The 24,573-nt window shown below is 46.1% G+C and overlaps 1 long non-coding RNA gene across 1 annotated transcript in view, besides 1 other annotated feature; it reads right to left on the reverse strand.

The window, feature by feature from the left end:
- The window catches only part of LOC105373242 (uncharacterized), a 53,390-nt gene that overhangs the window by 12,783 nt on the left and 16,034 nt on the right, over positions 1–24,573 (reverse strand). Inside the window, exon 5 of the long non-coding RNA XR_001755876.1 lies at positions 18,304–18,392. This is a non-coding gene — a long non-coding RNA (uncharacterized LOC105373242). The remainder of the gene's footprint in view (positions 1–18,303; positions 18,393–24,573) is intronic.
- Positions 16,849–17,750: an enhancer, noted in NCBI's record as "H3K4me1 hESC enhancer chrX:68280594-68281495 (GRCh37/hg19 assembly coordinates)". NCBI's record gives its function as "activates a minimal SCP1, AML or CMV promoter by ChIP-STARR-seq in naive H9 embryonic stem cells {active_cell/tissue: H9 hESC(naive)}" and the evidence as "EXISTENCE:reporter gene assay evidence [ECO:0000049][PMID:30033119]".

A 24,573-nucleotide genomic window follows, 5' to 3' on the forward strand; every position in this document is an offset into this window, starting at 1 on the left:
TTTTTTCCTTTCTTTGTTCTTTGCTTTGCTTTCCTTATTACATTGACTAGAACTTCCAGCATTATTTTAAAGAAGAGTGATGAGAGCAGGCATCCTTTTTTTGTTTCCAATATAAAGTGAAAAGTATTTCATACTCAATCTTTCATTATTGAGTATGACCTCAGTTGTAGGATGTTGTAGATGGTCTTTAACAAGCTGAAGAAGTTCACACTCCCTCCTTTTTCAAGTGTTTGTCTTATGAAAGAGTATTGAATTTTGTTAAATGCTTTTTCTGCATCAATTGATAATGTGATTTTTCTTTCTTAGTCTGTTAATATGATGGATTACATTGATTTCTGAGTATTGAACCAGCCTTGCTTTCCTGGAATAAACCCCACTTGGTCATGGTGTATGATTCTTTTTATATATTGCTGAACTGTATTTGTTGGCTTTTTTGGATAATTTTTCTATTTTTCTGAGGGATATTGGTCTGTAGTTTCTTGTTTTTTTTTTTTTGTTTTTTTTGTTTTGTTCTGTTTTGTTTTGTTTTGTTTTTGTATATGGTCTCTTCCAGTTTTGGTGACAGGGTAAAACTGACTTCATAAAATGAGTTGAGAAGTCTCCCCTCCTCTTCAGTGTTCTGGAAGAGATTATATAGAGTGAATTATTTTTAAACTTTTGGTAGAATTGTCCAGTGAAACCATTTGGGCCTAGAAATTTATTTTGAGGGAGGTTTTTTAAATTACAAATTCAATTTATTTGATAGTCATATGACTATCCAAATTATCTCTTTCATATTGAGTGAGTTATGGTAGTTTGTAATTTTCAAAGAACTGATACATTTTATCTAAGTTGTAAAATTTATGTGTGTAGAGTTGTTCATAGTATTTCCTTACTGTGCTTTTGATATTCACAGGATCTGTATCAATATCCTCTGTTTTATTCCTGATATTGGTGATTTGTGTCTTCTCCCTTTTTTTCTTTGTCAGTCTTGCTAGAAATTTGTCAATTTTATTGATCTTTTCAAAGAACCAGCTCTTTTGTTGCATTGATTTCCCACTCTTAAAGTCCTGGAACATACCTCACTTGGTCATGATGAATTATTCTTTCAATGTATATTCTGATTCCATTTCCTAATATTTTGTTTTTAGATTTTGCATTCATGTTTACAAGACAGATTGGTCCGAAATGTTCCTTTTTTCATAATACCATTGTCCAGTTTTGGTATCAAGGTTTGTCTAGTTATTTGGCTAGGCTTATAAAAAGAATTGAGAAGTATTCCTTCTTTTTCTTTTCTCTAGAGAGATTTTTGTAATACTGATGTTAATAAACACATATAGTTTAATACACTTAGATATATTTGGTGTAAATAGTTTCACTTCTGTGCATGGAGCTAGGTGAAGGAAACACATTTTTTATCTTTAACTGTGTGCCAGATACCATGCTAGGTATTTTACATTCATTATCATATTGTTTCTTTATAAAAATCTCATTGAGGAAGTATTTTTATACCTGTCTCTGAGCTCAGAAATTGAGATTCATTGACTTGACTAAGATCACGCATGTAAGAATCAAAGCTAAGTCTTATTTATTAACCTCCTACTATTACCAGGCAATGTGCTCCAAGATGGCCATCTACTATAGCAGCTCAATGAGACAGTAATCATGTTTTTCATTATAGAGATGAGGAAGCTGAAGCTTAGAGAGGTTGAGGAACGTGTTCAGAGCTGCACACCTAAGATTTGGACAAGCTGGTCTCCAGGTGATATTTTGACATTCTTCAGCTGAAGAGTGTGTTCTTTATGCTGTGATCAGAATGTCCCTCATGTGAGCACATCTTATGTTTTAGTCACTGCCACAATTGTTAGCAGCAGGGAAGAGTCATGATGGTCAGGACAGCTGCCGGCCCCAGACTCCAGGTGTGACAATGAGTCAAAGCTGAAGATAAAGTTGGGGAATAGGCTGCTGGGCAGCTGGAATTAAAGGGCTCAGGAATGTGGGCCCTGAGGCTGGGGAGCAGACCAGGACATGGGCTGAGGATTAGGAGATCAGTGGGAGGCTGGACTTTGATAGGTTGAGTTACCCACTCCTCTGTCATGGGATACAGCTTTCCTGGGCTAGGCCTGGCAGGACTGAATTTATTCTGCTACTGCAAAGCCCAGGCTTGAACCTGTATCAGTTCACTCCTAGGAAAGACACTGGAGGTGGAGGTGGGAGAAGAGGTGCCCTAAGGCCCTGGCCCCCAGCCAGAAGTATGGGGGTAACTAAACTGGGGCTAATGATATGGCAGAGCTGTGGGGGCTCCTTAAAGATCACCTGGTCCAACCACCCCGCTGTCTAGAGGGAAACCAAGGCTCAGAGAACTGAGGATATATTGATGGATTTGTCCAAGGCCACACAACCCTGAATGGCCATCTTGGGGAGAGCAAGGACCCAGACTGAGCTGTGTGGGTGTGGGCACACAGGGGATGTGTGCACATAGATTGGCCTTCCTTCTATAAAGCCAGACCTTTATAACACCTGTTGTGTACTGAAGTGGGGATGAACATGAACTCTGAGGGCTGATTCCATGTATTAACTTGAGTGTCTAGAAACAAGTTATTTGAATGCTCTGGACTTCAGTTTCCTCATGGGCCCCTCATTGTAGTAATTACCTCATAATATTGTTGCACAGATTAAATAAGTATATATATATATATATATATATGTCACCTAGAACAGTGTGTGGCACATAGGATGCATTGTGTAAGTGCTGTTGTTATTGCCAGAGGCCCTGGGGTGGAGTGGAAAGAACAGAGGCTCAAGAGTCACCTACCCACGTCCCAATCCAGACTCTGTCACACTGGCTATGTGACTTTGGGCAAGTCCTTTTTGTCTCGGAGCCTCAGCAGCATCGTCTGCAATATGTGTAATATGGAATTCATAAGACTCCCTGGAGGCCAGATGCAGTGGCTCATGCCTGTAATCCCAGCACTTTGGGAGGCCCCCATTTGAGGCCAGAAGCTCGAGACTGGCCTGAGCAACATAGGGAAACCCCATCTCTATATAAATAAATAAATAGATAAATAAATACATACATACATACTCTGGCTACCAGGGCTATTGGACTATCACATGGACAAATCACCTGTCTTACAGAAGGTCTTAGAGAAAAGGTGGCTGTTATTATAATGCTGATGAGACCCAGTGGGGACAGAGAGACATCCTTCATGGTTTCTGTCCCCCCAGGCCGTGGTCCTCCATACCCTTCAAGCTAGCCCAGCCCTACCCTGCTTTGAGCTGGATAGGCCCTGCAGCCTCTCTGCTCCTGCTCCCAGGCTGGCTTGCTGGCTTGACAACTTCCTTTCTCCCCACAGCACTGGGGGCTGTGAAGGCAATTCTGAGGCAGGGAGGGAGCTGGCTGGAGCCCCAGATACCCCCACATATGGTGGCTTGCAATGGAGAGACAGAGTCTGGCTGCACATCTCCCTCCACCTTGGTAGGGTCTGCTTGCCTCAAAGCCTCCCATCCACCTGACCCTGGTCTGGGGCTCAGTGGAGCTGGAGTAGCCAGTTAGAATGAGAATCAGAGACTCCCAAGCTTCTGAGTACAGTTAACTTCAGCTCCTCAACTCTCCATCCTCACATATTTTAGTTTATGGGAGGGGGAACTAGACCTAGAAAGAACAAAGAATGCAGCCAAGGTCACACAGCAATGATTTCCATATTACAGAGTAGGAAGTTGTGGTTTAGACATGTTCAATGCAGAGTTAGGATCATAATCCAGATCTCTTAAATGCTATCTTTTCTAGAATCAGAATATGTAGAGCCAGAAAAGATCTTAGTTTAAAGGACACCTGAGTCTAATCCCACTTTGTACATGAGTAACACTGAGGCCCAGAGAAGAAGAGGGATTTACCCATGGTCCAAAAGGAGTTAGTGGCAGAGGCGGCACTCGAACACAGCGTTCCTGATTTTTTTTATCCAGGGGCTCTTCCCACACCCACCAGCTGCAGGAGAGGTGGAGGGCCCAAAGGCTGTGTGTCAGGGTGTGGGGTACCTGGCTCAGTACTGGGATGCTTTTAGCCCCTTCCCAGTCAGAACTATTGTTTTCCTACCACCTTATAGCTCTGGGGACCCTCTCTTACCTTCCTCATTGGTACCCTGGGGAAAGTGTTCCCACATGGCTGAGCCCTACAGAGAGTTAGGAACCTGAGTTCTAGGCTGCACGTCCTCAGATGAGTCCTTTCCTCTCTGTGAACCTCTGTTTCTCCAACTTTAAAATGGTGTCTATGGAGTGTGGAGCAAAGGAGGACTAGTTGAGTCTGAGCGGTAGAATTAACTGGAGAGCTGGGAAAAATCCCGATGCCCAGGCCCTACCCTAAACCCATGAAATTAGAATTTCTGGAGATGGGCCCCAGGCTTGGGAGGATTTGTCCAGTCCCCCAGGGGATTCCAGTGAGCAGCTGGGGTCAAGGAGATCTCTAAGAGCTCCTCTACATGACTGTTGCTAAAATTCTGTGTCCCATTCAGGGTATCTTGGGTTGAGGGGAAGGAGGACCATGACAGCTCCCCTCCCACAGCCTCCACACCGAGCATGCCAACCCAAACCATAGGCCATTTCCCCAGGGTTAGAAAATTGCTTTGTGGTTTCTGGAATTGTCTGAATTCCTACTAGGACACTGCTCCTGTGGTAGGAGTCTGCTTGTCCACACCCCTCCGCCTCCTCTTTCCCTGAGATCCCCCCGCTCCTTGTCTGAACAACTCTGTGTGGACGAGAAATAATGCAGGCTCTGGAATCAGGACAGACTCAGGGCAACATCCCTGCTTCACCTTGAGTAGCTCTGCAAATCATTTCACCCTCTCTAAGCCTCAGTTTTCTCATTTATAAAGTGGATTGTATTGGTACTTAGCTCACAGCACTACTGGGAAGATTAACTGAGCCAATGCACGTGGCATGCCTAGCACAGTGTCCGGCACGAGGGAACACTCAGTGAACAGTAACAGCCCGGGAGGCAGCCTGGTGCCTGTCTCCCTCAGAAGAACCTCAGGGAAACTGACTTGCTCTCACTTGAAAGACTCAACATCCTGAATGAGGCCCTATTCTAAGACAGGGCTCTCAATCTGCTTTCTGTGCTTGGTGCTTTCTATTTCATGAGGCAGGTCCATTCCACTTGTGCCACCTTCCCAGCAAGCCCATGAGAGAGGAATTCTTATCATCTCTGCTATGCAGGTGACTAAGCTGGGGCCCAGAGAGGTTCAGTCATTTGTCCAAAGTTACTCAGTTTAGAGTTGGTATTCGAAGGCAGAATTCGAAAGCTGGATTCAAAAGCGGAACCTTTACTAACATCCGCCCACCTCAGTATGGGTGCAGATGCCTACTGAAGGTGCTTGTAGAGTCAAGGGGGCCAGATACTAGCCAAACATAAACACAAACAGAGTCGGGGGTGCTGGGGCAGGCTATAACAAATATAATAGGGTTGATGGGCTGGCAAGTTTAAAGGAGGCTCTCCACACCAGCCACCACTGAAGGGGGTTGACAAGTTGATATTTGCTGGGAAGGATGTTAGGGAAAATGATGAATGTTCCCCCCATACCCTGAGCAAACAAACAGCTTCTTACACACACACACATGCACACATGCGTGATAATACAACTAGCAATAGCCACCCTTTGTTTGTGTCTAGCTTTACAACATATGCAGAAAAACTTTCTCCTATCACCTTATTTTTCCCCCACAATACATTCGCTTTATTTCCCCCAACAAGATATTCATTTGACAGACATCTATTGAGCTCCTACTATGTGGCAAGCACTGTTCTAGGTGCTTAAGATACATCAGTGAACAAAATAGCTAAGATGCCTCTCATCATAGAGCCCGTAATCTAGTGAGGAGGCAAAAAGTAAACAAGAGAAATAAACATTTCATATGGTTGATGGTGATACGTGCTGTGGGGTAAGAAAAAAGCAGGAGGAAAGAGGGTCAGGGTGTGTGAGGGGAGGTTGCAGGTGCCCAGGTAGGTCACACTGAGAAAGAGAAATTTGAGAAAGCTCTGAAGGAGGGAAGGAGGCGAACCATGAAGATATCTAGAAGACCATTCTAAGTGGACAAAACAGTCCACGCAAAACACCCGAGTTGGTTGTGTGTGGGAAATGCTTGGAGAGATACAAGGAGGCCAGCACTGGAGTGAGCAGAGAGGAGGAACGGGACGTGAGAGCAGAAGGTAATGAGAGACAACATCTTGGAGGACCTTGTGGCCACCTTGATGACTTTGGCTTTACTTTTAGAGAGATGAGGAGCCATTGGAGGGCTGTTACTTGGGTTTCACCAGACCCCTCCGGCTTGCATCCTTGAAGTGCAGAGAATAGGCTGTGGCAGGCAGGGTAGAAGGGTAATCCTCAGGGTAGAGACAGTGGAGGTGGTGAGAGGGGACCAGATGATAGGGCAGAGGATTTGAGACAGATGGAATGTGGAGTGATGAAGAAAGAAAGGAGGCAAGGAATACCTCATGTGCTACGAATGTCTCCACAGTCTCCACTTCTGTGGTCACCACCCCAGCAATGGCCTCCACACAGGGACTTCTTGCTCTAGCCCAGCCCCCTACAATTTACTCTCCACCCAGCAGCCAGAGGGGTCCTTTTGAAATGTAAATCAGGTCCTGTCACTTTCCTGATTTAATCCTCCTGTGGCTTCTCATGATACTTAGAAAAAAGTCCAGGGTCCACATGAGCTGGCTCCATCTGCCTTTCCAGTGACTTTTCCCACCTCATCCCCATCCCCCACTTGGCTCCAGCCTGTTCTGCTGTCCCAGGAATTCACAATCTCATTCCCACTTCAGGGCCTTTGCATTTGCTGTTTTCCCCACCTGGAATGTTCTTTCTCTACTCTGCAAGGTTGGCTGTTTGTCATTCTTCAGGTCGCAGCTGAAACATCGTCTTCTCAGAAAGATCATACCCTATACCACCACCCCATCAAAGTTAGGTTCATCATTCTGAGTTTTCTCCTATAGCTCCTGGGTTTTGTTTTTTCCCTTCACATCACATACCATGGGTGATATGTTGCTTTCTGCAACTTTTGTCCCCTTCACTCAGCTTCCTGAGGGCAAAGGCAGGGGCCACACAGACTTGGCTCCGCCCTGCATCTCAGTGCCTGGTTCCAGGACAGGCGCTCAGGGTTAGTGTTTGTGTGGCAGTGCATGATAAGTGTTTTATAGCCATATGCTCATTTAATACCTACGGCAAGCCTGTGAACTAGGTGTTGCTATTATCTGCATTTTATAGACGAGGAAAGTGGAGAATGGAGAGGTCATAATGTTTGCAGTGATAGAGCAAAGATTCCAGATCTGTCTGACCTTTTATAATCACACACAAACACACACACACACACATACACACACACACACACACACACACACACACACACACAATGGGCACTCTGGAAATATTTTTTAAATGAATGAAGGATTGCAAATGTTAAAAAGTTAGACTTAAATTTAGGTCCATCAGACATAAAATTCATATTCAACCTCCATCGCCTAAGCTGACATATGGGGAGCCCCATGCTATTTTTGATGTCAGATTATGGAAAGAACATGAGCTTTGGAGCCAAGCAGGCCTAGGCCTTCAATCTCTGTCTCACTGATTACTATGGGACCTCAAGCAAGTCACTTCACATCTATGAACCACTGTTTGCTCATCTGTTTGTAAAATGGAGACGAAAGTCACCCCTGATTCTTGGGGTTCCTGTCAGAAGTGTGACTTTGGACAAGCTTAAGTCTGTTTCCTCTTCCAGTATTCTCTAATGTAGTAATCTCAATCTATACTGCTATATCTTGTTTCACTCATTCAACCTATTCATCTGTCCATCTACCTGCTCCTCAGTCCATCAATCCACCAATTCATCCATCCATCCACCCACTCATCCATCTATCCATCCATTTTCCATCCATCCACCCATTCATGCATATATCCACCCATCTATTCATCTATCCTCCATTCATTCAATCTATTGATATGAATCAAGACCTCTGCTATATACCAGGCCCTGTGTTAGGCCATGAGCTACAGAGAAGAGTAGGATACTAACAAAACCTGTAGTCTAATTGTTCAAATAGTGGTCGAGGTCTCTATCATGACCTGTGGTACCACAGGGAGGGAGTGGCTAGTGCTGCCTGTTGAACGAAAGCATGCTAGCTGGCCTGAAAGCTGTAGCAGGCACCCTCCAAAGGCTGAAATTTTGTTGGTTCCTCTTTCGGTCCCAGTGCTTAGCATACAGGGACTTACTATATGCTGACCTGCTTCTGAACTGTGAACACTCCCTTAAATATAGTGTGAACTTTAGCCAATGGGCCACATAGTTTCAAACAGGGGTATGACAAGATCAGATTTGCTTTATAGAATGACTTTTCCAATCCCTGGTGTCTTCTGGGTTAGAAGAGACAGAATCAAAAGCAGGGGGCCCAATGTAGAGGCTGTTGGACTAGTAGCAGTGAGAGATAATGGGCAACTGACTTTGGCAGCAGTGGAGCTGAAGACAAGCAGAGAGACTCGGGAGATATTGAAGAGGTAGACTCACTTTGTTGTAATTGCATGGATGCAGAGGTGAGGGTGAGAGAAATGGAGAGATGGCTCCCAGGTTTCTGCTTTGGACAATTGGGGACCTGGCTGGATGACTCCAAGTGCTATACTATGGAGGCCTGGGACAGGGGACAGGGGAGTGGTTAAGAACACAGTGGCTTTAACTTTCCTGGAGGAGTTTGCTTGGCATTCACATTTATTGCCAGCAAATATTTTTCTTTCTTCAGAGCTGCAGCCCCTCAGCTCTGTCCTGCTCAGTGACAGATGTAAAGGCACATTAACAGATGCCAGTTGCTAACACACCTCCATTTAAACGGATTAATCAGCCCCTCGGAAACCTGGGAAATTCTCACTCCTGACACTCTCTTCTTTCTCTCTCTCTCTCTTTTTTCCTTTCTCTCACTTCCTCTCTCTTCTCTTCTCTTTCTCCCTCTACTCTTTCTTCTCTGTTTCTTACACAGATACTCTCACATCCACCCTTACACATACTCACACACCCTACGCAGACTTGGGAGGATGTGTGTGTATGTATGTCTGTTTGTGTGTGTACACACAGGAATGGGGTGTGGGAGGGAATGGGAGCTTGAAATGTGAACTTTTTAAACATTTTTTGTGTCAGACCAGATTCTTAGTTAAGGCCCAAAAAGGAGCCCTATAGGTCATGTGTTTGCAGATGACATGATTGTATATTTAGAAAACCCCGTCGTCTCAGCCCATAATCTCCTTAAGCTGATAAGCAACTTCCGCAAAGTCTCAGGATTCAAAATCAATGTGCAAAAATCACAAGCAATCCTATACACCAATAATAGATGAACAGAGAGCCAAATCATGAGTGAACTCCCATTCACAATTGCTACAAAGAGAATAAAATACCTAGGAATCCAACTTACAAGGGATGTGAAGGACCTCTTCAAGGAGAACTACAAACCACTGCTCAACGAAATAAAAGAGGACACAAACAAACGGAAGAACATTCCATGTTCATGGACAGGAAGAATCAATATCATGAAAATGGCCATACTGCCCAAGGTAATTTGTAGATTCAATGCCATCCCCATCAAGCTACCAATGACTTTCTTCACAGAATTGGAAAAAACTACTTTAAAGTTCATATGGGACCAAAAAAGAGCCCACATAGCCAAGACAATCCTAAGCAAAAAGAACAAAGCTGGAGGCATCACACTACCTGACTTCAAACTATACTACAAGGCTACAGTAACCAAAACAGCATGGTACTGGTACCAAAACAGATATATAGACCAATGGAACAGAACAGAGCCCTCAGAAATAACACCACACATCTACAACCATTTGATCTTTGACAAACCTGACAAAAACAAGCAATAGAGAAAGGATTCTCTATTTAATAAATGGTGCTGGGAAAACTGGCTAGCCATATGTAGAAAGCTGAAACTGGATCCCTTTCTTACACCTTATACAAAAATTAATTTAAGATGGATTAAAGACTTAAATGTAAGACCTAAAACCATAAAAACCCTAGAAGAAAACCTAGGCAATACCATTCAGGAAATAGGCATGGGCAAGAACTTCATGACTAAAACACCAAAAGCAATGGCAACAAAAGCCAAAATTGACAAATGGGATCTAATTAAACTAAAGAGCTTCTGCACAGCAAAAGAAACTACCATCAGAGTGAACAGGCAACCTACAGAATGGGAGAAAATTTTTACAATCTACCGATCTGACAAAGGGCTAATATCCAGAATCTACAAAGAACTTAAACAAATTTACAAGAAAAAAGCAAACAACCCCATCAAAAAGTAGGCAAAGGATATGAGGAGACACTTCTCAAAAGAAGACATTTATGCAGCCAACAGATATATGAAAAAATGCTCATCATCACTGGCCATCAGAGAAATGCAAATCAAAACCACAATAAGATACCATCTCTCACCAGTTATAATGGCAATCATTAAAAAGTCAGAAAACAACAGATGCTGGAGAGGATGTGGAGAACTAGGAACACTTTTACACTGTTGGTGGGAATGTAAACTAGTTCAACTATTGTGGAAGACAGTGTGGTGATTCCTCAAGGATCTAGAACTAGAAATACCATTTGACCCAGCCATCCCATTACTGGGTATATACCCAAAATATTATAAATCATGCTTCTATAAAGACACATGCACACGAATGTTTATTGTGGCACTATTTACAATAGCAAAAGACTTGGAACCAACCCAAATGTCCATCAATGATAGACTGGATTAAGACAATGTGGCACATATACACCATGGAATACTATGCAGCCATAAAAAAGGATGAGTTCATGTTCTTTGTAGGGACATGGATGCAGCTGGAAACCATCATTCTGAGCAAACTATCACAAGGACAGAAAACCAAACACCGCATGTTCTCACTCATAGGTGGGAATTGAACAATGAGAACACTTGGACACAGGGCAGGGAATATCACACCCCGGGGCCTGTCATGGGGTGGGGGGCAGAGGGAGGGATAGCATTAGGAGAAATACCTAATTTAAATGATGAGTTAATGGGTGCGGCAAATCAACATGGCACATGTATACCTATGTAACAAATCTGCACGTTGTGCACATGTACCCTGGAACTTAAAGTATAATAAAAAATAAAAATAAAAAAATAAAGCTGCTATGAACATTCATGTAAAAAAAAAAAAATTTTTGATGTCAGACCAGACTCTTAGTTAAGGCCCAAAAAGGAACCTCACAGGACATGTGTTGTCTGGAGCCAATGGGAAGCTCACTCATTCATTTAGTAGACACTTCCAGGGGCCTCCCCTGTGTCTGGCTCAAGCTAGCTCAGTGTAAAGTTCACAGAGAAGATAGTGAGGGAGACAGCTACCTCCCCAAACTTCTGGGGTGTGATTAGAGAGGTCATTGTGGAAGTACTGAAGAAGGAGTCACCAGTTGCCTGCCTGGGTGGCCACACAGGTGGTGCCCTTTGCCATGGGCGTTGAAGAGTGAATAGAAGTTCATCATGCTGCTAAGACAGCAAGGACATCCCGTATAGAAGGAACAGCATAGGCAGAGACCTGGAAGCATGAGAGGAAATGGTAAGTAGTTCATTTGGACTGAGTGGTACGCTAGGAGATGGAAGATGGAAGATGGGGAAGGGTGAGCCCTGATGGCACATGAGCAAATTTGAATGGTGGATGGTTCATCAACACTTCAGATGCCCAGACCTTTTGGCACAGCAGTTTCACATCTCAGTGTCTGCCCTAGAGAAGTACTTGGCATGTGGATATGTACAGGGATTTCAGGATTTTGATAATATAAAAGAAAATGTAATGTATAATACAGTATATAAATAGCCACCAATAAGGGACTAATTTAATAAGATTTTTTTCATCCTTGCTAAGGAATATCATGAGGCAGTTACAGTAAGTGAAGTTTATCTCTTGAGGGCAGAACAAAAGTAAATAACATTTTTTTAATTGCAGCAAAATGAGTTGGTATACACGCATATATTTCCTAGCTATGTCAGCTGAGAGAGCCTAGAAGCAATGACATCCTAGTAGCAATGACTGCATCTAGTGCCCACATCTTGGTTTCTTCTAATACCATCTCCTCCAATAAAAGGAACCAGGGCTCCTTGGAGAAATGGCTGGGTCAGGGTTAGGGCAGGGAAAATCCAAGATAAGCCTGGACCATCTCGTGGTGCCAGAAAATAAGGAAGTGCTCACAAAATAAAATAAAATAAAATAAAATGAAAAAAAATGGGAGCTTGTCTAAGGAGCACAGGAGCCAACCTGCAGGATGTCCTAATAGCCAAAGTAGGAACAATTTGAGCAGAAAATAAATATAGTATTGGATTTTTAATAATTCATTTTTATTTTAGAGCGGTTTTTGATTTACGGAAAAGGTACAAATAAAACATTAAGAGTTCCCATATATTCCACATCCGGTTTCGCCTATTAACATCTCACATTAGTATGGTACACTTGTACAACTAATGAGCCAATATTGATACATTGTTATTAACTGAAGTCCATAATTGATTCACATTTCCTTAGTTTTTACTTAATGACCATTACCTGTTCCAAAATCCCATCCAGGATATATAACATTACATTTACTCATCACCTCTCCTTAGGCTCCTCTTTCTTGCAACAATTTCTCAGACTTTTCTTGCTTTTGATGACTTTGACAGTTTTAAGGAGTATTGGTCTGGTACTTTGTAGAATGTTCCTCAATTTGAATTTGAAAAATCATGATTTTTTTTCTCATGGTTAAAATGGGGAATGGTTCGTTGTAGATTCTGGATATTAGCCCTTTGTCAGATGAGTAGGTTGTGAAGATTTTCTCCCATTTTGTGGGTTGCCTGTTCACTCTGATGGTAGTTTCTTTTGCTGTGCAGAAGCTCTTTAGTTTAATTAGATCCCATTTGTCAATTTTGGCTTTTGTTGCCATTGCTTTTGGTGTTTTAGACATGAAGTCCTTGCCCATGCCTATGTCCTGAATGGTAATGCCTAGGTTTTCTTCTAGGGTTTTTATGGTTTTAGGTCTAATGTTTAAGTCTTTAATCCATCTTGAATTGATTTTTGTATAAGATGTAAGGAAGGGATCCAGTTTCAGCTTTCTACATATGGCTAGCCAGTTTTCCCAGCACCATTTACTAAATAGGGAATCCTTTCCCCATTGCTTGTTTTTGTCAGGTTTGTCAAAGATCAGATAGTTGTAGATATACGGCATTATTTCTGAGGGCTCTGTTCTGTTCCATTGATCTATATCTGTTTTGGTACCAGTACCATGCTGTTTTGGTTACTGTAGCCTTGTAGTATAGTTTGAAGTCAGGTAGTGTGATGCCTCCAGCTTTGTTCTTTTGGCTTAGGATTGACTTGGCAATGCGGGCTCTTTTTTGGTCCCATATGAACTTTAAAGTAGTTTTTTCCAATTCTGTGAAGAAAGTCATTGGTAGCTTGATGGGGATGGCATTGAATCTACAAATTACCTTGGGCAGTATGGCCGTTTTCATGATATTGATTCTTCCTACCCATGAGCATGGAATGTTCTTCCATTTGTTTGTATCCTCTTTTATTTCATTGAGCAGTGGTTTGTAGTTCTCCTTGAAGAGGTCCTTCACATCCCTTGTAAGTTGGATTCCTAGGTATTTTATTCTCTTTGAAGCAAACAAATTTACAAGAAAAAAACAAACAACCCCATCAAAAAGTGGGCAAAGGACATGAACAGACACTTCTCAAAAGAAGACATTTATGAAGCCAAAAAACACATGAAAAAATGCTCATCATCACTGGCCATCAGAGAAATGCAAATCAACACCACAATGAGATATCATCTCACACCAGTTAGAATGGCAATCATTAAAAAGTCAGGAAACAACAGGTGCTGGAGAGGATGTGGAGAAATAGGAACACTTTTACACTGTTGGTGGGACTGTAAACTAGTTCAACCATTGTGGAAGTCAGTGTGGCGATTCCTCAGGGATCTAGAACTGGAAATACCATTTGACCCAGCCATCCCATCACTGGGTATATATCCAAAGGACTATAAATCATGCTGCTATAAAGACACATGCACACGTATGTTTATTGTGGCACTATTCACAATAGCAAAGACTTGGAACCAACCCAAATGTCCAACAATGATAGACTAGATTAAGAAAATGTGGCACATATACACCATGGAATACTATGCAGCCATAAAAAATGATGAGTTCATGTCCTTTGTAGGGACATGGATGAAATTGGAAATCATCATTCTCAGTAAACTATCGCAAGAACAAAAAACCAAACACTGCATATTCTCACTCATAGGTGGGAATTGAACAATGAGAACACATGGACACAGAAAGGGGAACATCACACTCTGGGGACTGTTGTGGGGTGGGGGGAGGGCGGAGGGATAGCACTGGGAGATATACCTAATGCTAGATGACGAGTTAGTGGGTGCAGCGCACCAGCATGGCACGTGTATACATATGTAACTAACCTGCACATTGTGCACATGTACCCTAAATCTTAAAGTATGATAATAAATTTAAAAAAAATGGGGAATGGGTCCCAGGAGGAATATCACAGAGGTGAAATGCCCTACTCGACACATCTCATCAATGGTACAGGCTGTTAACTGATAATGTTAACTTTGATCATCTGACTGAGGCAGTGTTTGTCAGGTTTCTCCATGTTACTTTTTTCCCTCTTCTGTACTCTTTGGAAGGAAGTCACTATGCCCAGCCCATATTTACAGAATGGAGAATTATACTTTACCCCCTTGAGGGGGGAGATAATACTGGATTTTAACCCATAGAATAAAATAAATATCAACTTAAGGGTGGAGGGTGGGAGGAGGGTAAGAGTTGAGAAACTACCTATGCTTACACATGGGTGATAAAATAATCTGTGCACCAAACCCCCATAACACACAATTTACCTATATAGCAAACCTGCACATGTACCCATAAAACTAAAATAAAAGTTAAAAAAACTGAATAAACAGGGGAGAAGGGGGAACTTTCCCTTACAGTAAAATTGCAATCAATATGCATAGAAAGAAAGAGGAAAATAGATAATTGTCAGGAAAGCACCACTACAATAATGGTGGATCCACTGATGAATGCTACAAATTGTGGGTGAACGTTTGAGGAGAAACAGGACTTGCATAGTCCCAAGATATTTATCAACTAAAAAGGGAACTATAGTAACTTTATAGTGGATAAACCCTGCACACATCAGCTTAACCAAGTGATCAAGGTAAACACCACTAGTCATAAGACACATGGACATTATGAGCCTCTTGCTGTGGTGTGCTGAGATGGACCCAACACCATTTCTGTGGTATTCTTGCCAAAAATTATAGCCTCCCTCAGGTCATGAGAAAATATCAAGCAAACCTCAATCAAGGGACTGTCTATAAAATACCTGACTAGCACTCTTCAAAAGTATGAAGATCATGAAAGATGACAAAAGACTGAGGAACTGTCATAGATTGGAAAATACTAAGGAGAAGTAACAACTAAACGCAATGTGGGATTCAGGACAGGATCCTGGAACGGAAAATAAGATGTGACGGGGGAAAATAGGGAATTCCAATAAGATCTGTAGTTCAGATAATAGTACTGAACCAATGTTAATTTCTTGGTTTTGATCACTGTACCATAGTTATGTAAGATATTAATATTAGGAAACTAGGTGAGGGGTGTACGAAAGCAATCTGTTCTATTTTTTGCAATATTTCTATAAGTCTAAAATTAGTTCAAAATAAAAGGTTTTAAAAGTTGCAATGTAAAAGATTTAGGGCAGATACCTGGAAGGCCTCTGGTGGCAGAAACATGAGATGTTTCAGTGGATTTTTGAAGGGTGCTTGTCTCAGGCAGTTAAGGAAAAGAGCCTGGGTGTTTAGCCCTTGGGTCCTCAAACATCCTGGTGCCTCTCTCTGCATTTGGGGCTGGGAGACCTCCTCTCTTCTGGGCAGTCTCCCACAAAGATTTGTTCAACGTAGTGGCCTGTGGTTGGTCAACTCCCCTGTATCTCCAGACCACCCCCACCCCCCCAACCTTGTGTCACCGGCTGAGACTGCAATCCCCACTCCCTGTTTCTTCTCTCTAATATAGCACTGGTGGGGGGAGGGGGTGGGGAAGCAGCCCTGTGTGTGTGTGTGTGTGTGTGTGTGTGTGTGTGTGTGTGTGTGTATAGCAGGAGAGCTGGGGATTCCCATCCTAGAGGATGGAGGTGGCCGAGGTGAGGCTGAAGCAGTTGGGGGAAGGCTTAGCAGGCAGGCGAGCGGCTGCTCCAGAAAGAGGGCGGCTCAGACAGTGGTTAGCTGCGGAGTGGGGCTTAGCAGAGGGAAGGGGGAAAGGGAGGGGGCTCTCCTTCTCAAGGGGCCCTTTCATGTTGAAATCAGCCAGCGTGAATGCTGGCGGCCCAGGAGCCCAGCCGGGGGAAATGTGAGAGCCCCCTTATCTCCCCTCATGTCACAGTGCCGTCTGCAGTTCTCAGCCGGGCCAGAGAGGATGCATTAGGAGAAGTGTTGGTGGGGGATGGGGGAGAGAATGCTCCCATCAAGACCTAGGGCTGGGCCCACTTAGTTAAGGGGAGGTTGGAGGAAGCAGGTTCCAGACTGTCCTGCTGCTGGAGGTGGGGGTGGACTGGAGTGCCCTGCATCTCGAAGCAAGGAGAGCCAGCAGGCTTTGGGGCCTAGGGTGGTGGATTTGGCAGGAATCAGAAAGAAGGCCTCAGGTTCCACCCCTATCAAATGCCAGAATGCCCTATACAGCATGCCTCTGGTCTGCTCTGGGAGTGCAGTCCTTGCCCACACACCTGCAGGAGCAAGGAGCCCACTCCCTCCTGGGAGAGCTGGGAGAGTCAGGCCATGGGTTCCACCCCTGGATTCAGTTCTCGTTTCTGGGTAGGAAACCTGGAACATTTGACTAGGAAAGCCAAGGCCTCACCTTTCCCAGGACACTCTCAGCCCAGGAGTGACCCCTGCTGTTCAAACAACCTTTAAGGCAGAGGACAGAGCCATTAGCTTCCCATGGCTTGGACTGGGTGGTCCTTCCTGCCCCTTCCAACCCTGCAATCTTGTTTCTCTGAGATGGGCTGTGTGGTTCTTTGTAAATCTGCTGTTGCAGGAGGGAGGTGGGTGAGGCCACATCTGGACTGTGGGGGCCTTGTTGGCTGGAGCTGTCAGCAGCCAATGTTTTCACAGACACCATTTGCCCGTGCAAGTTCCCGGCCCCCAACACACTCCCACTGCCCAGGGCCCCAAGCCTCCTCCCTGCAACAGCACAGGAACCCAAGGGAGCCCTGGGTCGACTCCAGGATGACCTAAACCTTTAGGTCATCCCAGAAGCCTCTGCTGCCCAAGAGAGGGAAGAGCTGAGATGCCACGGGGCCATGTGGAGGTGTGGGTACAAACAGGACAAGGTGAATGAGACAATTTGAGGAGCCCCTGGAGACAGCTCAGTGCACAGGGCTGTAGACCTCTGGGATCTGCCTCTCGCTTTTTCTTTTTTGTTTGTTTGTTTGGTTGTTTGTTTTCGGGGGGGTGGTTCTTTTGAGACAGAGTTTCACTCTGTCACCCAGGCTAGAATGCAGTGGTGAGATCGTGGCTCACTGCAGCCTCGACCTACTGGGTTCAAGCTATCCTCCCACTTCAGCCTCCCAAGTAGCTGGGACTACAGGTGCATGCCACCACACCTGGAACATTTTTGTATTTTTTTGTAGATATGGAGTTTTGCCATGTTGCCCAGGCTGGTCTCCAACTCAAATGATCCGCCCGCCTTGGCCGCCCAAAGTACTGAGATTACAGGCGTGAGAGCTGCCGTGCCCATCTTGTCCTGATTTCTCCCAGAACCTTGCTGGATGACCTTGGGTCAGTCTGTTCCTCTGTCTCCCCAAGTGTCCAATGGGAAGAATTCCTCACCACCTGATTGAAAATAGCCTTAGCTTCTTCTGTGAAAATAGCTCCTTCACAGCATGTACCTCTATTTGAGCTCTTCTGTCTCCCCCACTAAAGCACGATCTCCATGAGGGCAGGGGCCCTATGCCCTGGGCATCCAGAACAGGGGGGCAATGGGTCTTAAAGGCCTTCTCAGTGCTGGACACTCTCATTGCATTTGTTCCAAGCAAGATTCAGGGTTTGAGCCAGGGACGGAGGAACCATGTTCTGGGGGTGGCAGAGGAGAATTTTCTCCTGGAGCTGCGTGAGCATAGTGGGCCACATGGTGGGCTCTAGGATGCAAAAGGCTAGGCTAAGGCCCCCTGGGAAGGGGAGACAGGCCTGAGATAGCTGCCAGGGCACGAGACCTACCAGAGGCTGATCCAACCCAGCCAGGAGATGGGCTGTTTCCAGATGGGCTCTGTGATTCCTCCAGGCGTCCTCAGCACCAAGCTCAGGACCTGGCAAGGAAAAGGGATTCTGGCAGTGTTTGATGGTTAGCAACAGTTAACTACTCACCATTTATGCCTGCCTTGGCACCTCCCAGCTTTGCCTGTGGGACTCTCTAGGTGGGCCTGGCCATCTCCTACAGGCTAGCTGTGCTTTATGCATCATTACATTGCCCTCTCACAGCAGTGGGGTAGGTACTATAGTACTATCCCTGTTCTACAAATGTGGAGACAGAGACACAGAGAAGTTTAGCGACTTGCCCAGGGATACACCACCACCAAGGTACAGAGCCAGGATTTGAGCCCAGGTCCATGCTGTCTTATTTACCCTGTTGCCTTCTGTAAAACATGTTCAGAGATCCAATTTGACCAGACTCAGCACCTGGGTCCCACACTCCGACGTTCCCACACATTTTTGCTGTCTCACTGCATTCCTACCCCCAGCCTGTGTGGTGAACAGGGCAGGCACTATCATCCCCACTTCACAGACAGGAGAATGGCTTGTGGTCACCCAGCCAATAAATAGCAGCACTAGGACCTGAGCCCAAGTCAGCCTCGTTTTAGAGCCTTGCTTTTTGCCTTCAACCAGGCTAGTCCTATGCTCTTAGACCCCACTCACTCCCTAGGGCTCTCCCAGCCTGCATTCAATACCACTGATGCCACAAGCACCCCAGGAACCTAGCCCTCAGTATAACCTGCTCTTTTCACCCTGGCCACAAGGCCCTTTCAGCAACTCCTGCTGAACCTTCAGTGGGGAAGCAGGTGATGGGGGGTGGGGGGCAGGTGGCCATGTCATGGAACAGACAAAGAAGGCAAACTGTGGGGCCCTACAAAGGTCTCTGCAAAGATCTCTGACCGAAGGCAGCTGCAACTTAACTTTTGCTCAGAATCAAGCCTCAATTCAACGAATATGTACTGAGTATCCACAATCCACCTGGCATTTCAGAAAATGCTTTTCTAAACAGGCAGTTGCCATCAGTCAAGCGCTTGCTATATGACAAGCAGGCATTGTGCACAATCCATTGAATCTTCACAGATCCTTCGAAGGGTGCTACGAACATGGACCCCATTTTGCAGGTGGGTAAAGTGAGAGTTAGAAAAGCCAAACCGCATGCCCAAAGTCTCCAAGGTAGAAAGTGACAGATCTGGGAACAGAATCTAGGCCTGCCAGACTAAAACATCTATGTTCTTAAGCCCTGTGTTATCTGTCTCCGAAGGGGAGTGCCCTGCCTGGGAAGCACGAATGACAGCCAACTGCATTAAAAGCGGGAAAACAGAGAAAATGCAGGACAAGAAAGAGAGCCCTAGCGAGGGGCCAGCTCACTTCCAGAGGACACAGGGGCCATGGGAACATGGGGGTGCCTCCCCTCAACATCCTACCACAGACTTATCAAGCCTAGGAGCCCCAGGTTTGGCTGAGGTGGGGCTTGCTGAGTGTGTGAGGGCTCTACTGGCACTACCCATTGGAGCTGAGGGGCCCAGAGCATATGGATGACAGTGCAAAGGGCCCAGAGAGAACAAAGGAGGTGGGACTGGGGAAGGGGGATGTTCAGAGAAATTCTGGGGGGAAATCATGGGAAAAGCTTCCAAAGCAAAGAATGATGCCTTTTGCTTTGTAAATCAGGACGTACTTGTAGGACAGAAGCAAGAGACCAGAGGGGCAAGAGCCTGGCTCAGCAGAATGCTGGCAGACAAAAGGAGTCAGGCCTCTCAAGCTTTGTCAGGCAACTGACACAGACTCTTGACGAGGGTGAAACAAGCTCTCAAATGGGACCTGAGGGATCTGAAATTGCATAGTTAGAAAGGGGGCAGATTTGAGTTGTGAACACGGGCTTAATCTGGTTTCAGAGCCTGTCTTAGTTCAGGCTGTGATAACAAAATACATTAGACTGAGTCATTTATCAATAATAGAAATTTATTGCTCACAGTTCTGAAAAGTCCAGGATCAAGGTGCCAACAGACTTGGTGTCTGGTGAGGGGTGACTCTCTGCTTCCAAGATGGCACCTTCTAGTTCTAGTTGTGTCCTTACATGGTAGAAGGGCAAAAAGGCTCCCTCAAACCTCTCTTAAAAGGGCACTAATCCCATTCATGAGGGCTCCACCCTCATGCCCTAATCACCTCCTAGCAGCCTCATCTTTTAATACTATTGCACTGGAAATTAAGGTTCAACATATGAATTTTGGAGGACATAGCAGAGCCCATGCTCTGAAATGTCCCCAAAAGCAGACTATCGGGGAGAAAAGCCTTGGGTGGTGGCAGTACAAGGAGTCCCAGAGCCCAGAGCTGTATGCCTGAGGCCTGGGTATCTCGGCCCCCAGAATCCCTTGGACAGCAGTAGCCCCTTCCTAGAGTTCCCTGGCAAATACAAGACACTCTGGGCTGGGAGGGAGGTGGAGAACATCTAGTCCAAACCCATCCCTCCATTCATCTTATACTGAAGTCATCTCTGCAACATCCACGTTGAGTGGGGTTTCACTGGCAGAAATAGGAAACGGCACTCCAGGCTGAGTGCACAGCCTGAGCAAAAACATGGTGCTTAGAGAGGCCATGGTGGCTGCAGGGCAGATGACATTAGTGTGGCTGTAGCAAGACTGCTGGGAGGGATGGAAAGGAATGTGGGAAGCCAGCTGAGTCTTGGGCTGAAAAGGACCACCAAGATTCTCTAGACCAGGCCCTCACTCTGAGCCATACCATCAGTGTCTGCTCTCCTTTCCCCCGGCCACCCTGCAGGATTTGAGAAGCTAGAAGTTTCCTTACAGTCCATCTAGCCTGGGTCCTTCATTTGCAGATGGAGAAATTGAGGCTCAGAGAGAGACAGTGACTCATGCTAGGGCCCACAATCAGTCAGCCCTTTTGCGGACATTCAGTAAATATCCATTCATTTGAAGCTTAGTTCTGAGCAAAAGTGCAGAGAGCCTTTAGTCAGAGAACTTTGTAGATGTGCCGTAATCTTTGCTCCTTCAGAGCAAGCATCCCTAGCTTCTGGGGCCACTCCTCAATACTTAGAAACTGCCTACATATGGCACATAGTAGGAGCTCAACTCGCATTTATTAAATGAATAAAAGCTTGGGTAAGTCAATGGTAGGGACATTAAGACAGCCATGTGGGCACACAGCCAAGGGGACAGTGGGAGCTGAAATCGAGCCCACGCTGCACTCACTAAGCCATGTGCCCTGGTACAAGGCTGCATGCATCCAAAGGAGGTGCTTTTTGCCACCTTGCACTATGACACTGTATAGGCTGGTGACAGTGCTGGGGACTTCAGAAGGCCAAGGAGTCAGTCTCCTCTGTAGCCTGCTCTCCTCTAAACAGGCATCCATTTGGCCATGACCCAGCCACCACACCTCCAGAGGGATACCCAGTGAGTAGAAGAGATGCCTCCCTTGCACCCAGCCCCCAGCCATCAGCTGATGCAGGAGCTCTTCAGGCCACCAGGTCCGGTTGCTGACTCATTGAGTTTCCAGTCAGCTAATCCCCAATCCTTTTCTGCTCACTCCCTTGCTCACCACCTCATTACACACCAGCCTCTGGTGGGAATTCTTTCCCCTGACATATCTTCCAATTGCATGTGCTTAGTAGGTACTGCCCTCCTAGAGCCTTGAACAGTGAGAGGGCAGGGCATTGACGGGTGGGGAAATTGAGGCTTAGACAGGTTAAGTAACTTGGCCAATGTCACCCAGCAAGAACATCCCAATTTGGATTTAAACTGAGATCTATCTATTCCAAGCCTTAAGCTTTGCCCAGGGCTCTCCCTCCAGATGCCAGGGCGGGGCAGTCCCACTGGAAAAGTGCCTGATGGCAGATGCTTCTCCATCCTCTCTGGTACAAGGCATCTGTGTCAAGTTGACATCAGAATGTCTGGCCGTGTGTTGTACATGCCACCTGTGTGACTCTAGGCAGGAGCTCCCACCTGGCTTTTTAGTAGGGGACAGATGGACTTTTGTTCCGCCCACCAACCCTGCTACTTAGAGCTATGGCGGGACTTTTGAGAGCAGGGCTGGACTTGGTTGGGAGGGTCCAGGGCAGAGGCTGGGAAGCGTGTGCAGGAGCCAGGCCCTGACGGTATGAATTTCTGTCTTTAACCTGGGCAGGATTTCCCTCGGTAGGGGGTGTCTGCAAATCCTACCCCTTCACTGAAGTGAGTGTCAATTCTAGTTCTGCCCTAGGCTTTGCTTGGCAAGGCAGGTGGGCAGAGAGGAGGAGTAACTGCTGATGCCCTGTCTCAGGAAGACCTCAGAGCCCTGTGGGGCTGGGCCTGCCTGCCTAGTGGCCTGATTTGATGCCAGTATCTCCTGGTTGAAGGGAGAGTAGGAGGTTACTCCAGAGAAGATGGAACCCCCACATGCAGGCCCAGCCAACAGGCCACTCACCTTTGGCAGCCTGGGGCAGAGGGGCACTGAAAGAAGTTCCATTTAGTTGCAGGTCTTAACTGCTCAAACTCTTGTTGAGGAAGGAAGAATGCATTGCATAGTGAAGGAGGGAGAGAGAAGGACAGAGGCAGATACATAGATAACAGAGGGGACAAACAGAGGGTGTGAGAGAACACAGAGTGTGAGTGAGCCAATGAGCAGGGGCGCACTTGGAATGAACGCATAGCTGGGAGTCAAGAGACCTGATTCTAAACTCAGCTCTGTCACTGACTTGCAGGGGGCCCTGTAGCCAGTCACTCCTTCTCTTCTAGGCCTCTAAGTCCCATTTGTCAGGCTGTGGGGGCAGGGAGGGGGAGGTAGGACTGACCTAGGTACCCTCCAAGGTCCCACCAGCCCTGACCTCAAATTCTGTGAGATAGAAATTGCTCCTCTTAGGCTGGCTCTGGCAGTGGGCGTTTCTGAAACTCACAGCAATGAAAAATAGGAAAAAACAAACTTTGGGAATTCCAAGTATGGCTGGGGCTGGAGGATGAGGCAGGCAGAGCTGCAGAGCTGTTTGTCTATGATTCAGAGCCTCTTGTGAGGTAGAGCACATGTTCTTAGAGGCAGGACTGCCCACCACTACCCCCAGCCGCCACCACCACTCTGGACTCCCCACCCAGCTCAACCTCAGTGGGGCCCCTGCCCTGGCCCCGCTGCCACTGCAGCCACTACCTCACTCCGACTGACCCTCTGGAAGAATCAGGGATGAAGCCAAGGCCCAGAGAGCCTCACTAACTTGTGCACAGACACCCAGCAATCTTCAGGCTAACCCTAATATCAACAGCCCAAGTGGGCAGAAAGGTGAAGGGAAGGAGGGGGAAGGAGGAGTGTCCCACGCAGCCAGCCTCTCCTAGATGCCCAGGACAGTAGTTGTATCTTCCAAACATCATCCTCTTTAATCTTCAAAACCATCCTTTGGTTTAGGCCTTAGGGTACCTGAAACCAGTGCTCAGAGAGGTGCCTCTGCTAGCTCAAGCTCACATAGTCACTAGGTGTAAAGCTAGGATTTGGAATTCAGATGCCAGATTTGCACCACTGCCCAAGGGTCCCAGCATGGCTGCAACATAGGCCTTCCTGACAGTTGGGCCTTATCACTTTGACTAGCAATTTCCTGTCCCACACATGCCTGACCATGAGGCCAGGTACAGGCTGCAATCTGAGCAGCTTGTGGGAATAAGCTCAACTGAAGGAGGTAGCCTGAGGAGGTTTGGGGAATATTGTGGGGTGATTTGCCACGGGGGTTGTGCCTCTGTCTGCCTGTGTCCCCACCTCTTCCCCAAACAGCGGTGGCAGGTACTGCCCCAGCCCCTGGATCCCAAGCAGGCCTGAGTGAACCCACTGGGCCATGGAACCCTGCAGTTTGGGCTTCTAGTTGATCCTGTGAGGGGACAGTGGGAGTTGCCACCCTGCTTCCAGCTTCCAGGAGCTGCCAGCCAGGCACAGGGGGCAGAGCAGAGCAGGTCTCACACACACAGAGTTGAAGGCAGAGCAGCTGTAAGAGACAGAGAGAGAGAGAGAGAGAGATAAAGGGAGGTAAAGAAAGGTAGAGCCAGTGAGAACCAGAAAGAGGGAGATAGAGACTGGGCAAGAGAAACAGACACGGAATCAGAGAGATACTGAGACCGGGAGATAGATAGGACAAGGAAAGGCCTAGAGGCAAAGAGATGGAGAAACAGAGACAAAACCAGAGTCAAAGGGCAAGGGAGACACGACAGACATGGAGAAAACCAGCAAAAGGCAGAAGGGCAAAGAGGAGGGGTGGAGAGAGGGGTGGGAGCA

Source organism: Homo sapiens, chromosome X (genome assembly GCF_000001405.40).
Source record: "Homo sapiens chromosome X, GRCh38.p14 Primary Assembly".
Classification (NCBI taxonomy): Eukaryota; Metazoa; Chordata; class Mammalia; order Primates; family Hominidae; genus Homo; species Homo sapiens.